Source organism: Homo sapiens, chromosome 4 (genome assembly GCF_000001405.40).
Source record: "Homo sapiens chromosome 4, GRCh38.p14 Primary Assembly".
Lineage (NCBI taxonomy): Eukaryota > Metazoa > Chordata > Mammalia > Primates > Hominidae > Homo > Homo sapiens.
This window is the reverse complement of record NC_000004.12, coordinates 56,668,306-56,682,267: the sequence shown is the minus strand read 5'-3', so window position 1 is coordinate 56,682,267 and position 13,962 is coordinate 56,668,306. Positions and strand designations below refer to the sequence as shown.

General features: G+C 42.9%; 1 protein-coding gene across 10 annotated transcripts in view, besides 1 other annotated feature; it reads left to right on the top strand.

The window, feature by feature from the left end:
* HOPX (HOP homeobox) overlaps nt 562-13,962 on the top strand; it is a 33,709-nt gene continuing 20,308 nt past the window's right edge. For 5 of the 10 annotated variants that reach the window (NM_001438047.1, XM_047416319.1, XM_047416322.1 and 2 more), the window contains exons 1-2: nt 972-1,013; nt 5,702-5,769. Coding sequence is in view for 2 of the 10 variants with exons in the window: in XM_017008729.3 (XP_016864218.2) it covers nt 1,175-1,276 (102 nt within the window). In the remaining 8 variants the exon portion in view is untranslated. Of the gene's footprint in view, nt 616-971; nt 1,277-5,701; nt 5,770-13,962 lie in introns of those variants that run through there. The other 5 variants (NM_139212.4, NM_032495.6, NM_001145460.2 and 2 more) reach the window with 3 other exon arrangements.
* Nucleotides 925-974: a silencer, noted in NCBI's record as "silent region_15453". NCBI's record gives its function as "represses an Ori minimal core promoter by ATAC-STARR-seq in GM12878 lymphoblastoid cells {active_cell/tissue: GM12878}" and the evidence as "EXISTENCE:reporter gene assay evidence [ECO:0000049][PMID:35858748]".

Sequence of the window (13,962 nt, the reverse complement as noted above, 5' to 3'; positions counted from 1 at the left end):
CCAGCAAATACACACAGATAATCCCACAGATGATCTCACCAGACCTTGTCTCCCTTCCCTCATTCCCTCAAAATCATACCCACCTAATAATGTTTAGTGCACTGCAATTGAGTATTAGCTCCCGTATCTAGCTAATAAAATACGTAAACATCCAACAGCCGGGTCCTCACACCCACACACATACCCTCGCCTTTAGAAACATTTCCACGGATTGTCACACGAGCCCCTAAACTCTCTGTCACACTCTGCATGCATCTTCCCACAGACTTGCTCACACACTGGCTTTTTATTCGCAAGCCCATGGGGAATCTTTCACCTCTTAGACAGGAATTTCATTAACGAAGGGGAGGGGATGGTAAGAGGAAAGTACAGATGCAGGGGAAATAAATGAGAATCGTTTTTGAGGGAGACCTAAAACTGTATCATCCTAGCCCGAATCTCTCCCTTTTAACTGTTCTTTATGTGTACATTCTGTGCCCAAAAGAAAACAACCTTTCATTAATTGGGCAATTGTCCAGGCTCTTAGCTTGGCATCCAGCTCTCAGAGCTGTGAAATCAACCGCACCAGATCTACGCTTTGAAATGAGGCAACATCTAACTGGAAACTCGCTCAAAGTAAGGAAGTGGATGAGAAGACTCAGGGTCCCTTTTCTCTTCCCCGTCTTCTCTCAGCCACATCTCTCTTATCCTATCTTGGTGAAGAAGCTTGCTTGGCTAGGAGAGAGGTCAGGGACGAGAAGATAGTGACGAGAAAGTTCCATGAGACTCTCAGAAGTCCCAGCCTGAACATCAAACCTGAATAACCAGGAGAGACGTAACCTCGGCATACTTTCAGTGGTTTACCTCCTGCCCACGCTGCAGGTTTTTCAGGTCCTTGCTCGAGTGTGTGCTCATAGGCGTAAATAAACGTGCTATCAGCAGCCTGCGTCAGCCAGCCCAGCTATTTAAGCAGGCTGGCATCAGCAAACACAGCTTCCAAACCCAGGGCTTGCGCTTGCCTTTGCCTCTTCCACGTAAGTACCTTTCAAAGGTCTGCCTTTTATGCAGAGGAATGAGTTTGTGCAGGAACTAGACCAAAATGCTATCGTTACCGTATTTGCTCATCTGTTGGAAAACGGTAGAGGTGAAAGGGAGAATAGGAATGACAAGCTTACCCCCAAGCAGAAGCTAGGAAATGCTGCTGGGTGTAAGACATCAGTCCCTTACAAACAAAACTGCATGGGGTCGAGGGGAATTTGGAGGAAGGGGAGTTGGTGTTGGTCTTTTGGCCAAGCAGGTGAGATGTTTTTCTTACTCGCTTCTATTTTGGAAAGATAACTTTGAAACCAGCATTTGTCAGATGCCTATGATTTTCTCATTTAGAAGCAGATTATTGTTATTCTACATCCCAGACTTTTATCTAAAATCAGACATAATATCGTTTTAAAATATGTTTTGTGTTTGACAAGGGGAAGTGAGGGAGCTGTCTCTGGATGGAGAAGTGGCTTGATTTTGAATTTGCAGTTTATTGTTACTTCTGGTTCTCATAATACTTATTTATAACAACAAAAACAGTGATTTTTTTTTTTTGAGATGAAAAGGAATCCCAGGCTCTGGGGTTTAGAGAAAGTATAGGTTTGTGATATGTGAGTGGCATCCAAGTATTCAGGGTAAACTGTTAAGTAAAGTGGAATAAGAATCATTGAATAAAAAGGTACAATCTATCACATAGTTCAGATAAGAAGCTCTTAAAGAGAAAAGGAATGCAAACAGTTCCCATGAAGTGGCACTGCTACTGGACAGGGCCCTGTAGTGTGTTTAGTTAAGTAAGGTTAAGTATAACCAGGGCAGGCAGAGAACAAAACGAAGGTGCTGGGGAGGTGGGAAGGGAGGAGAAGGGAGGAGCAGATAGTAAAGGATTTATAATTAAACAACAGATTCATGAAAAGCAGATAGGAATAGAGCAGGGCATTAATTCCATAGTCTATCCCTTTGTATCAAGAATCTGGTGAAAGCCAAGGACCTTTCTCAGGTATTCATTCCTCGCTTCCTGAGCCTCCCCTTCCACCCCACACCCCAACCCACACCTTGACTCTCACTTTCTGGACTCCTAGAAGTCCACGGACCTAAATGAAGCTCATATGCTTATTATTATTTTTTTTTAACTGGGCTGAAGCTGCCGACTGAGGAACCTCTCCAGAAGTGGTGGCGAGTTAAAAACCTTCAACGTGGCAGGCACTTCTTAGCCACCAAACTGAAGCTTGGTTTTAAGTTCATGAAGGTCTTATGTCAATCAAGCAAATAATGATTAAGGGCTATATCTGAGAAAAGATAAGTTGAAGGCCAAGAGGAAGAGAAAAGAAAAAATGGATCTTGTTCTCAAAGAGCTTGAAATCTAAAGTCCAGGGAGATAATTAGATGTTATGTCCATGCACAAAATAGGATGTGTTGAGTGATTACATTTGTATAAAATGATAGAAAATGCAAACTAATCTATAGCAAAAAGAAAGTGGCTGGGTGCGGTGGCCCACGCCTGTAATCCCAGCACTTTGGGAGGCCGAGGTGAGCGGATCACTTGAGGTCAGGAGTTTGAGACCAGCCTGGCCAATATAGTGAAACCCCGTCTCTACTAAAAATACAAAAATTAGGCGGGCTTGGTGGTGGGCACCTGTAATCCCAGCTACTCGGGAGGCTGAGACAGGATAATTGCTTGAACCCGGGAGGCGGAGGTTGCAGTGAGCTGAGATTGTACCACTGCGCTCCAGCCTGGGCGACAGAGCAAGATTCTGTCTTAAGAAAAAAAAAAAAAAGAAAGAAAGAAGATCCATGGTTACTTGGGAAGGTAGGGGCAGGAGAAAAAATGTTTGGGGGGACTCCCAAGGTACACAGGAAACTTTTGAGGGTGATGGATATGTTCATTATTGTGACTGTGACCATTTCTTATATGGGAAGATTTATCAAATTGTGTACTTTAAACATTCAGTATTATAGCTGATTACTCCCAACAAACAATACTTTAACCACATTATTTTTATTTTTATTTTTTTGAGATAGGATCTCACTCTGTCACCCAGGCTGGAGTGCAGTAGCACGATCTCGGCTCACTGCAGCCTCTGCCTCCCAGGCTCAAGCAATCCTCCCACCTCAGCCTCCCAAGTAGCTGGGAACACAGACTTGTGCCACCACACCCAGCTGTAGAGATGGGGTTTTGCTATGTTGCCCAGGCTAGTCCCAAACTCCTGAGCTCAAGCGATCTGCCTGCCTTGGCCTCCCAAAGTGCTGGGATTACAGGTGTGAGCCACTGTGCCTAACCAACAATATAATTTTTAAATAAGTAAAAGCATTTCTAAAAATCAGCCTATGTAACATGCTGAACATAAAAGATGAGTATTTATGGAGAAAAAAATAAATTCAGTAAAGCACAGAGACCAGACAGTAAGGATCATAGACTTTTATAGAACTGGGAGGGTCCCTGGAGATAATCTAACCTAGTGGTTGTGGGGCCTGGAGAACTTAAAAAAGAAAAAAAAAATCAGTGACTGGGGCAGGGCATGGTGGCTCATGCCTGTAACCCCAGCACTTTGAGAGGCTGAGGCGGGTGGATCACCTAAGGTCAGGAGTTCGAGACCAGCTTGACCAACATGGTGAAACCTCATCTTTACTAAAATACAAAAATTATTCTGGGCATTGTGGTGAGCGCCTGTAATCCCAGCTACTTGGGAGGCTGAGGCAGGAAAATCGCTTGAATCTGGGAGGCAGAGGTTGCAGTGAGCGGAGATCGTGCCACTGCACTCCTGCCTGGGTGGCAGAGCAAGACTCCGTCTCAAAAAAAAAAAAAAAAAAAAAAAAATCAGTGACTAGGCCCCACCCTGGACCAATTAAATCAGAATCCCCAGGTGTGCAGCCCTGGGATTGGTTTTTAAAGTTCCCCAGGTGAGTCTAATGTGCAGCTAGGGATGAAAACCAGTGAAATCAAAACCATTCACTTGACAGATAAGGACAGTAAGGGCCAAAGAGAGGATGGGGATGGCCCCATGCCACCTGACCACCAAGTCCGAGAGTAGGATGAGGCTTGGGAGGCTCAGGGAACACAGCAACAGAGGCTCAAAGGTAAAGAAAGAGGCTGCTTCTGGACACTCCCAGCTCCAGCGAGGATAGGGTATCCAGCACCTTCCAAGCGAATCCTTGGAACCCAGACATGCTGCGGGGCAGCAAACTAGAAGAATTACTCAGGGCCTCCAAGGTGCATTATTAAAGGATTGTGCTAATGAGTGAGAAGGGATGTTTCAAAACTAAAGCTTCCTTTTTTTCCCGATTAATATCTGGCATAAGTAGAGGATTCTAATTATTGAAAGGAATCCCAGTGTACACACTGGGCACTCTGTTCTGGGGGACAGCCAAGTTGTTCTTTCAAGAAATAGCATGTGTGCATTCCCAGCACTGGGATGAGTCTATCTGGCAGTCCAGGGTCTTTTAATTAGGACTTCCAGGTCAGGCCCAGGCAAAAGCATGAGTGGGTGAAGTTTGTCGTTGTGACTTCTGTCCTTCCTGTCTGTGGCTCCTTAGCTCTCCCTCAGCACCTGTATGGGTGCAGGTGTCAGTTCAGAGGTGTCTGTGGGACCACAGAGCCTCACCGGCTCCACCCTGGCCATGTTTCCAATTGGTTTTTACCTCCCCTTCAATCCAAATGTGCCACTTTCCAGGTCTTATTCTCTCAGGGCTTGTTTTCTCCATCTCTGGAAAACTAATTAAAATTAGGATGTTAATAGACAATAATCGTTTAATGAATTATGTCACTCCCTGGTATAGTAAGTAGGTTCCAGCAAGATAACATATCTAGGAGTTCCTTGAAATGTTATATATAGTTACCATTTGAATTTTTAAGTGGGGCAATCAGGCAAATCAAAGTTTTATGCAAAATATGTGCTCCTTATTGGTCAGAATTCCAAGCAACTTGCTGGGCAAAAATATACCAAGATTGTGGGTTTTCAGTATAATTTTTCAAACCATATCCAGTAGGCAACCATCTATAGGTTGTGGGCCCTGTTAGATTGTTTTTTCTAAATTAGTCCATTTTTTGTCAATGCAGTTGAACTCATCAGAAGTAGCTGCATTTCCTGTGTCTTTCTGAAAAATGGAGAGCCACCTTAAGGTTACTATAATGGAGACAAAATGTCAAGAAATTCTGCTCATAAGGATTTTAGAATATTACCTGCTTCTTTCTCAGGAGCAGAAGGCTGGCACCAGCAGAGTAGCTTGCCTAGTATTAGTGGCCAGGAGCCTCATTCTTTGGGGACCCAGTTGTGCAGCTGGGGCAGCCCCCCCACCCCCTCCCAGTGCATGTGGCCATGGGCCCATTCGGGCACTTTTGCCCAGTTTGAAAACCAGATTGTGGCAGTTCTTGAAAACAAGTGGCAGCTGCCTGTGGCCAGTCCTGTCTCTGAAGAGGGGCGTGGCTGGGTGTGTAATTAACATCCCTTCTGGGGAGGCAGTCTGCAGGCAGTCGGAGCCCAGAGCAGCCCTGCAGCCAGAGGACACATTGTGACAGCAGCAGTGGGGAGGAGAGGGTGAAGGCGAGCTCCATCTTGAGTCCCTGGGAGCCCTGGCACTCTAGCTCTGGGGAACGGATTAGGTCGTTGGCATCAGGGCAGCAGTCAACACCAGTTTAATGCCCCTACTTGGAAGCCAAATGCTTTTTCCTGTGCTTTTTCCTGTTATTCAGAGTTTCTCCAAAATAAAAAAAAAAAGAAAAGAAAAACAAATGACAAGTTTGCAAGACTGATAAAACAGGTTTGTATGACCGATAGAATTTCTTCCTTCCTTGGATGACTTTTCTTTGAATATTTCTCCTTCACCTTCATTTCCAAATTCTCTCATTACACAATGACTTAGTTCAAGAGGTCACTTGGACATTTTTTAAGGCTGTGTTATGACCTAACTCAGCTTAATTTCTGGATGTTGTTGATGGCTTCCTTAGACTTTTTGTTGTTTTTGAGACAGAGTCTCACTGTCACCCAGGCTGGAGTACAGTGTCATGATCTCGGCTCACTGCACCCTCCACCTCCCAGGCTCAAGCAATCCTCCCACCTCAGCCTCTAGAGTAGTTGGGACCACAGACACACACCACCACACCTGGCTAATTTTTTGTAGTTTTGATAGAGACAGGGTTTCACCATGTTGCCAAGGCTGGTCTTGAACTCCTGAGCTCAAACGATCTGTCCACCTTGGCCTCCCAAAATGCTGCCATTACAGGCATGAGCCACCACACCTGGCCAGCTTCCTTTGACTTTTAAAACATCAAGTGAATAGGGACAGTGGACAGTGCTATAGAAAGATGACATTGTTGGTAGAAGGATGACCTATGGCTTGGAGTGGTTTATAAAGCAGTAACCTGCCCTTTTAAAAACCATCACCTGGGGATCCTGAAGCAGCCCCTGCTCTGTTCTGGACCATACCCATCCTGCCCACTCACTTGGGGAACAGGGGAACAGGTTTGATAGAGGGGCAGCAAGCCTGATGCTGCAAATGGAAGGCTCATGTCTCCTGGTGCAGGAGGTGCATGTATCTGCTGTCTTCCTGGGCAAGGGCCCTAATGTGTTTTTGGCCTTCCAGTGCTGTTGATTTTGAACACACAGTGCAATACAGCAGATGCAGGTTAGGCTGTCCTTTTTATTTGCTGGGAAAGTGCCTACATCTATCTTTTACAATATGCTGAACAATCTTCCCCAGAACTCCAGGCTGAGCTATCTCCTGCCAGGGGAGCAGAGGACAGGTCTGGTGAGCAGGAACCTGGGTCCTATTTTCTCAGCTGTAATGGAATTTTGAAGCAGCTGTGAGCCTGAAAGATTCATTGTCCCAGTGGAATTATTAATAGCACCTCCTTTTACTCTAAAAAATACCTGGCCTGAGCAATGAACTATATGGTTACCTATGAGTACAATCTACTTTATGCAACAGCATAAAGTGACTTGCTTGGAATCTTAGGATGAGCTTGTATCTGAGCTGGCTCTTGAACCCAGTCAGCCCCAGTCCTCATTCTGACCTCTGTGCCAAGTCATTTACTCTCCCCGTGACTCAGGGTTCCTGTGGGAAGCATTGTATCCCTCCCGCCAAGGCTGAGAACTGGTATATTTATGTTGGCTAAACCAAAAAGAAGTTCAGTATAAATGTCGGGCATTCAAGGAATTGTTCATCACAAGGTCAGGTGCTTCAGCCTCTTATTTGGCCATGCTTGGGTAGCAATAGAAGCTCTTTTAAATGTAGAGAAGTTGGCTGGGCATGGTGGTTTGTGCCTATAATCCCAGCACTTTGCAAGGCAGAGGTGGGAGGATTGTTTGAGCCTCATCTCTACATTTTTTTTTTTTTTTTTTTTAGTTAGCCAGACATAGTGGCACACACTTGTAGTTTTAGCTACTTGGGAGACTGAGGCGGGAAGGTTGCTTGAGCCCAGAAGTTCGAGGCTGCAGTGAGCTATGATCACGATGCCACTGTACTCCAGTCTGGGCAACATAGCAAGACCCCATCTCTAAAACAAACAAATAAATAAAAAGTAGAGAAGTTAATTTTACCCATCTCCACATAATTTCTTGTAATTTGCTTCTGGTAGTTTTGATAAAATGTGACCAAACATGAAAACAGTGCCAGACCTTTCACAAATGATCTACTCTGTCCTTGTATGTTCAGAAAGAAATGAAACAAAAACCTGAGGCAGACATTGATCAGTTCTAATCTCTTAGTGTATACTGGGCAGGAAACCAGTGGCAGTCATTTTGGCTGTTAGGTCTAGTCATTCCATCTAGGATCATGAGGAAAATTTCCTAGGATTCTTAAGGTCATGACAGATCTGCTTAGATAGTCTAGTCGTTGTTGATGTATTTTCACTTCTTCCTTGTGGCTTCTCCCTAAGGAAATGTACATAAACAATCTTCCTTAGCCCTGATATCTCCATCAACCCTTTCCAGATTTTCAGTTTGCTGGTGCCAGGAGTGAAATCTGTTTTACAAAAAACTTTAATTCAGTGGCTAATATTTAATTTAATAACTAATGTTGGAAGTATCTATCACTTTATTGTATATGCCTTACCCTCTTCCTGGGACATAGACTAGCATCTTTGGAGATGGCTGGAACTGGGATTTATGAAGCAGGAGGGAAGAAAGCAGGAGGCCACCCCTACTTTCATTAATACACTGTACCTGGCTCAGGGTTCCACAGCTGAAAAGGGAGGAGAGTCCTTGGAACTAACTCAAGAGTTAAACAATAGTTGACTAAACAATAGTAAAATTAGGGCTGGGTGCAGTGGCTCATGCCTGTAATCCCAGCACTTTGGGAGGATGAGGTGGCCGGATCACCTGAGGTCAGGAGTTCAAGACCAGCCTGGCCAACATGGTGAAACCCCGTCTCTACTAAAAATCCAAAAATTAGATGGGCATGTTGGTGCATGCCTGTAATCCCAGCTACTCAGGAGGCTGAGGCAGGAAAATCGCTTGAACCCGGGAGGCGAAGGCTGCAGGGAGCCAAGATCACAGCACTGCACTCCAGTCTGGGTGACAGAGCGAGACTACACACACACACTCAAATCAGATCTATAAGGAACACAGAAAGGCCTGATGTTATTTAGCTTGGACAAGAGAAGGCTATAAAGCCACTGAATGATGGTGTTGAAAAGCATGGAAGGATGTCGTGGAGGTCAATAACCAGCTCTTCATCTTGGCTTTTGAGGAAAAAATCCAAGACCAAGGATTGGTGGGGCTGCAGTATAAAGGACATTAAGTAAGCCATGAAGTACTCCCCTCATTATACAAAAAATATAGTGGAAAGAATTAATTACACAGACAAGCTCTGAAAGATGGGGCAGTCCACCAATCTTTTATTTTTTAAAGCCCTTTTTTTTGTTTGTCTTTAGGCGTATGATGAGTTAACATAGTCCTTAATTCATGGCATACACAAGACCCCCTCTTAGGTTTTATATCTCATTCCATTTCTCCTGCTCTCCCACTCTCCCTCTTTTCTCTCTTTCTTTTCACTGAACACTATAATTTTAAGATGTATCTATGTTGTTGATGATATTTCTAATGCATTATTATCAATAGTCTGTTAATTATATGTATCTTTTACTTATTGACTCCTGCAGTAATGGACATCTTTCTTGCCTCCAATTCTCTGAAATGATGCTGTAATGAATATTCTCATATGTTTGTTCTACCACCCTTTAGATCTGGTTCATGGGAAACAGAAAGGGAAAGGAGTGGGCTAGAGGTTTTATGTTTTATTCACACAGCATGGAATATTGAACTGTCCATGATAAATGGAGGCATAATGTAACCAGTTAGTATTTCAAACATTTACAAGCTTCTCCATGTTCCCTTGTACTTTAATAAGAGATTGAGTGACAAATAATTTTCTAGAACTAAAAGAGCACAATCTTCAGTGATCTCCCCTTCTCAATATAATTTTCTTTTCTTTTTTTTATTAAAAAAATTTTTTTTAGCCAGTCAGGCTGGGTGCGGTGGCTCACACCTGTAATCCCAGCACTTTGGGAGGCTGAGGCAGGCAGACAACCCGAGCTCAGGAGTTCGAGACCAGCCTGGCCAACATGGCAAAAACTTGTCTCTACTAAAAATACAAAAATAGACAGGTGAGACTCCATCTCAAGTAATAATAATAATAATTTTTTAGCCAATCAAATTTAGCAGTGGGTGGTTGCATTCAATGTCATCTTCTTTTCTTTCTTTCTTTTCTTTTTTTTTTTTTAAGACAAAGTTTTGCTCTGTCGCCCAGGCTGGAGTACAGTGGCATCATCTCGGCTCACTGCAACCTCCACTTCTCGGGTTCAAGCGATTCTTGTCCCTCAGCATCCAGAGCAGCTGGGATTACAGGCGTGTGCCACCATGCCTGGCTAATTTTTGTATTTTTAGTAGAGGCGGGGTTTCTCCATGTTGCCTAGGCTGGTCTGGAACTCCTGGCTTCAAGTGATCCTCCCACCTCAGCCTCCCAAAGTGCTGGGATTACAGGCATGAACCACTGTACCCAGCCAAATGTCATTTTCTTAAACTTGGCTTTATAAATTCTAGAAGCATTTTATTTCTCGATATTGGTTACTGATTACCCAGAAAAAGCAAATGAAATGTTCTAAGAAATCTTATTAGTCATGAGGTTGAGTGAAGTTTCTAAAATGTTTTGCCATTTTAATGATTGCAAAACCTGATGTCATTTTGTTGCCCAATTATATCCTGAGTCACTGGGAAAGCTAGATTAGAACCTTAATAATGGTACCTTGTATTTATGTAGTGTTGATAATTTATAGTGCCATTCATAAACATAATCCATCTCATGGAATCCTACAACATTGTGTGACAGGTGGGGCAGGTTAATAGCTTCAATAGTAGATGATGAAATGGACGTCTAAAGCAATTAAGACAGTTGTCCAAAGTTACCTGGAGACTATGTGATAGAGCTGGAAGGAGACTCCGGGTCTTCTGAAGCTTCACTCAATCTCTTTCTGCAGTATCACGGCTGATGCTCAGAAAAGTGATCTATTGTAGGTTCAAAGCTGTCCCCTGAGCTGGACATTCTGGTGTATCTGTCCTTTTCAATTATTTCGTGATGTTAATGAGCTGGCTAAAGCTGCACACCCTCTGTTTGTCCTATTAGCTGAACACCTGCTCATAAAAACCACTCAACTGGGGAAAAAAATCAGGTCCATATCACTGAGTAGCATGGCAACAAGCAGCATGGGTGGTTGGACTTTGGCATAATTTGGAGCTCTGCAAGGTACCAGCTGTGGGTCATTTTATCCATGACCTAATTATAGTCATAAAATAAGAATGGTAGTTGGACCATAAAAATAATAATCTATTAATATATATTTATGCAAAGAGATAATTCCATTCTGTCAAAGACTCTTTTCTGGACTTTTCAAAATACACAACTAACCTGAGGAAGTTCTGTCTGCTTGCAGTAGACAGTCTAATGGCCTAAGGAAAGGCATGTGATTGGGCAGCCTGAAAATCTACCCATGGTGCATGTGCAACACCACACAGGTCTCTGATGTATCTTACTATGTAATTTGAGCTCAGGCAAAAATACCGTAGAACCCAGCATATATTTTCAAAAAAACCAATCATGATGTCACATCCCCAGAATTACAAATGAACAGCTCTTTTCAGAGTCAGGCATTAGGAATGAGAACATTTTTAGAAAGAACATTTTAATGTTCTAAAGTGATTGGATGTCTACAGAGCAATATGACAATTTTATCTACTTGATTCTCCATTGTATGTGTAGCTTATCTGTATTTGATTTTTTTTTTTTTTCACCCAGGCTGGAGTGCAACGGCACAATCTCGGCTCATTGCAACCTCCGCCTCCCGGGTTCAAGCGATTCTCCTACCTCAGCCTCCCGAGTAGCTGAGATTGCAGGCACCTGCCATCATGCCTGGCTAATTTTTGTATTTTTAGTACAGCCAGGGTTTCACCATGTTGGTCAGGCTGGTCTCGAACTCCTGACCTCAAGTAATCCGCTCGCCTCAGCCTCCCAAAGTGCTGGGATTACAGGCGTGAGCCACTACGCCCGGCCTGTATTAGATTTTTTTAAACTACCAAACTGATTTCTATCATCATTTAAGCTTTTGAGCACCCTTCCTCTTCCGTGCAACAAATACATCTCTCTATCCTTCAGCGTATTGACCTAATTAATCTAATTAATGTTCTCCTAAACAAAAGAAGTTAAATGGGCAATCAAAAATTAATAACGTACTCCAAAACATAAAAGGAATATTTATTAGCTGCCATTTAAACTTATTTGAGCCATTTTTCCTCTCTGCAAACTATTTAGAAAGTTGATCCTTTTGTTATTTGCTTCCAAGCTTAGTAGTACACATTTCTCTTCTGGTTTAAAGGTTCTCTTTAGAAAATATTGAGACATTTTCCCATATCAGAATTCTATTTGCCTCATTTCTTGGTGTATTAGGACATTAGACATTTTCAAAGAGATTTGATAATACAATTTGTTTGACAAATCTGACCCCTTCTCTATTACCTGGTTTGAAAAGCCCTGAGTGCGTGGCTGTGCCCCATGGAAATCTCTAGGACAAGCCGTTTTTGTTTCTCTGTTTATATTTGATCATAGGATTGACTCTGTTGGAGATGTAATGGATATTCACACTTACTAAGCATTAGCACAACCATATTGACAATAACCAAAGCAGGCAGAGGCCCAAGCATAACTCAGTCTACCAGACAGATTCCTATCCTACATATTCAAGTTGCAATAAAAATGAAAGATCAGGAAATTTGAAGCTATTTTCCTCTTGCCTTTAACCACAGAGCTGCAACACTATGCATTTTTAAGAGTGAAAGACAGCCTCCTGTTCATCACTGTGGTTAAGTATATGTTGTTCTTTCCTCCAGCATCCTAACAGACCTGCATTTTGCTTATCCCTAACAGCAACAGTGATACCTAGGTGCAACCGGGGCATTTTTACTATTCTCTACCTAAGTGAGAAATTTAACATTTTATGTATAATAAGGGGACCCGATATCCAGGTTTGCCTGGAACTCTTCTGATGTATGCCTGTTGTACTGGTGTTATTATTATTATTATTATTATTATTATTATTATTATTATTATTTTGAGACAGAGTCCTGCTCTATCACCCGGGTTGGAGTGCAGTGGTGTGATCTTGGCTCACTACAATCTCTGCCTCCTGGGTTCAAGTAATTCTCCTGCCTCAGCCTCCTGAGTAGCTGGGACTACAGGCCCCCACCACCTCATCTGGCTAATTTTTGTACTTTTAGTAGAGATGGGGTTTTGCCATGTTGGCCAGGCTGCTCTTGAACTCCTGACCTCAGGTGATCCACCTGCCTCGGCCTCCCCTGGTGTAATTATTAATAGCACTCCTTTTATTCTTCAGTGTTCTAGGTTAGGTGACAAATTATATGATCACATTAACTCAACAGCCAGGTTGAATACTAAGAAGCTCCTTGGTTCCTAGTGTTTCATGGGTTCCTCCGTTGTCCCTTGAAGTAGAAACTAGGCACAAAGTGTTCAGCAAATCAGGAGCAGAGCCTAGAATAGGCCTCTGTGTTCTTCTTTCTTGAGTCAGCGACATCAGCAAACTGTTGATGAGGAAGAACATGATCACTTAAAACCTAGGCCACTCTGACTGTCAGAATTTGAGAAGAGAAACTCCCTCAGAAGTCATCTGGCCCACACCTTCACTTTTCTAGATTAAGAAATAAGTATAACACTTCGGGAAATGCATATGCCGTTTTACACTAGAAAAGTGCAAGGTTGTTTCATGAGCATAATCTCACTGGATCACAACTGGAGTAAAGAGGCAAGGAAGGACATTCTTAGCCACATTTTACAGAGAAGAGAACTAGGTTTTAAATAAGTTAAATAAAGCAGCCAAGGATATGTGAGTATGAAGTGGAGGCGTTAGAAATGAAATCCAGCCCTGACTCCACACCCAGTGCCCATCCTATGACTCCATACCAGTTTAATATTTTCATTCATTAGTGAGGATTTAAAGTGTATTTCCTACATATAATTTATCCATTACAGATACACAAACATTCCCTCTGCAACTAGTGCTATATACTCAAAAGTATCTTCTTTCAGAGCCAGGCATAATGGCTCAGACCGGCAATTTCAATGACTTGGAAGGATCGCTTGAGGCCAGGAGTTCAAGACCAGCCTGGGCAACACGGCAAGGCCCCATCTCTAAAAAAACTAAAAAAAGAACAGACACATTATTTCTGCTTCTCTATCTTCCCACATGCCAAGAGCTCTGGCCAGCAACTAAACTGTTCCTGCCTGACAGCACCACTTGGTGGTTGGGTAGGGAAATGAAAGGCCAAAATCTTTCTATCTCCATTCTTGTGCCTTGGGTAGAAGGATGAGGAGAAGAAAATGCAAAGTAACTCCTGCTTTTTCTTTATTGTTCACAGTTAACAACATTAATCATTTCTCAAACAACCTATT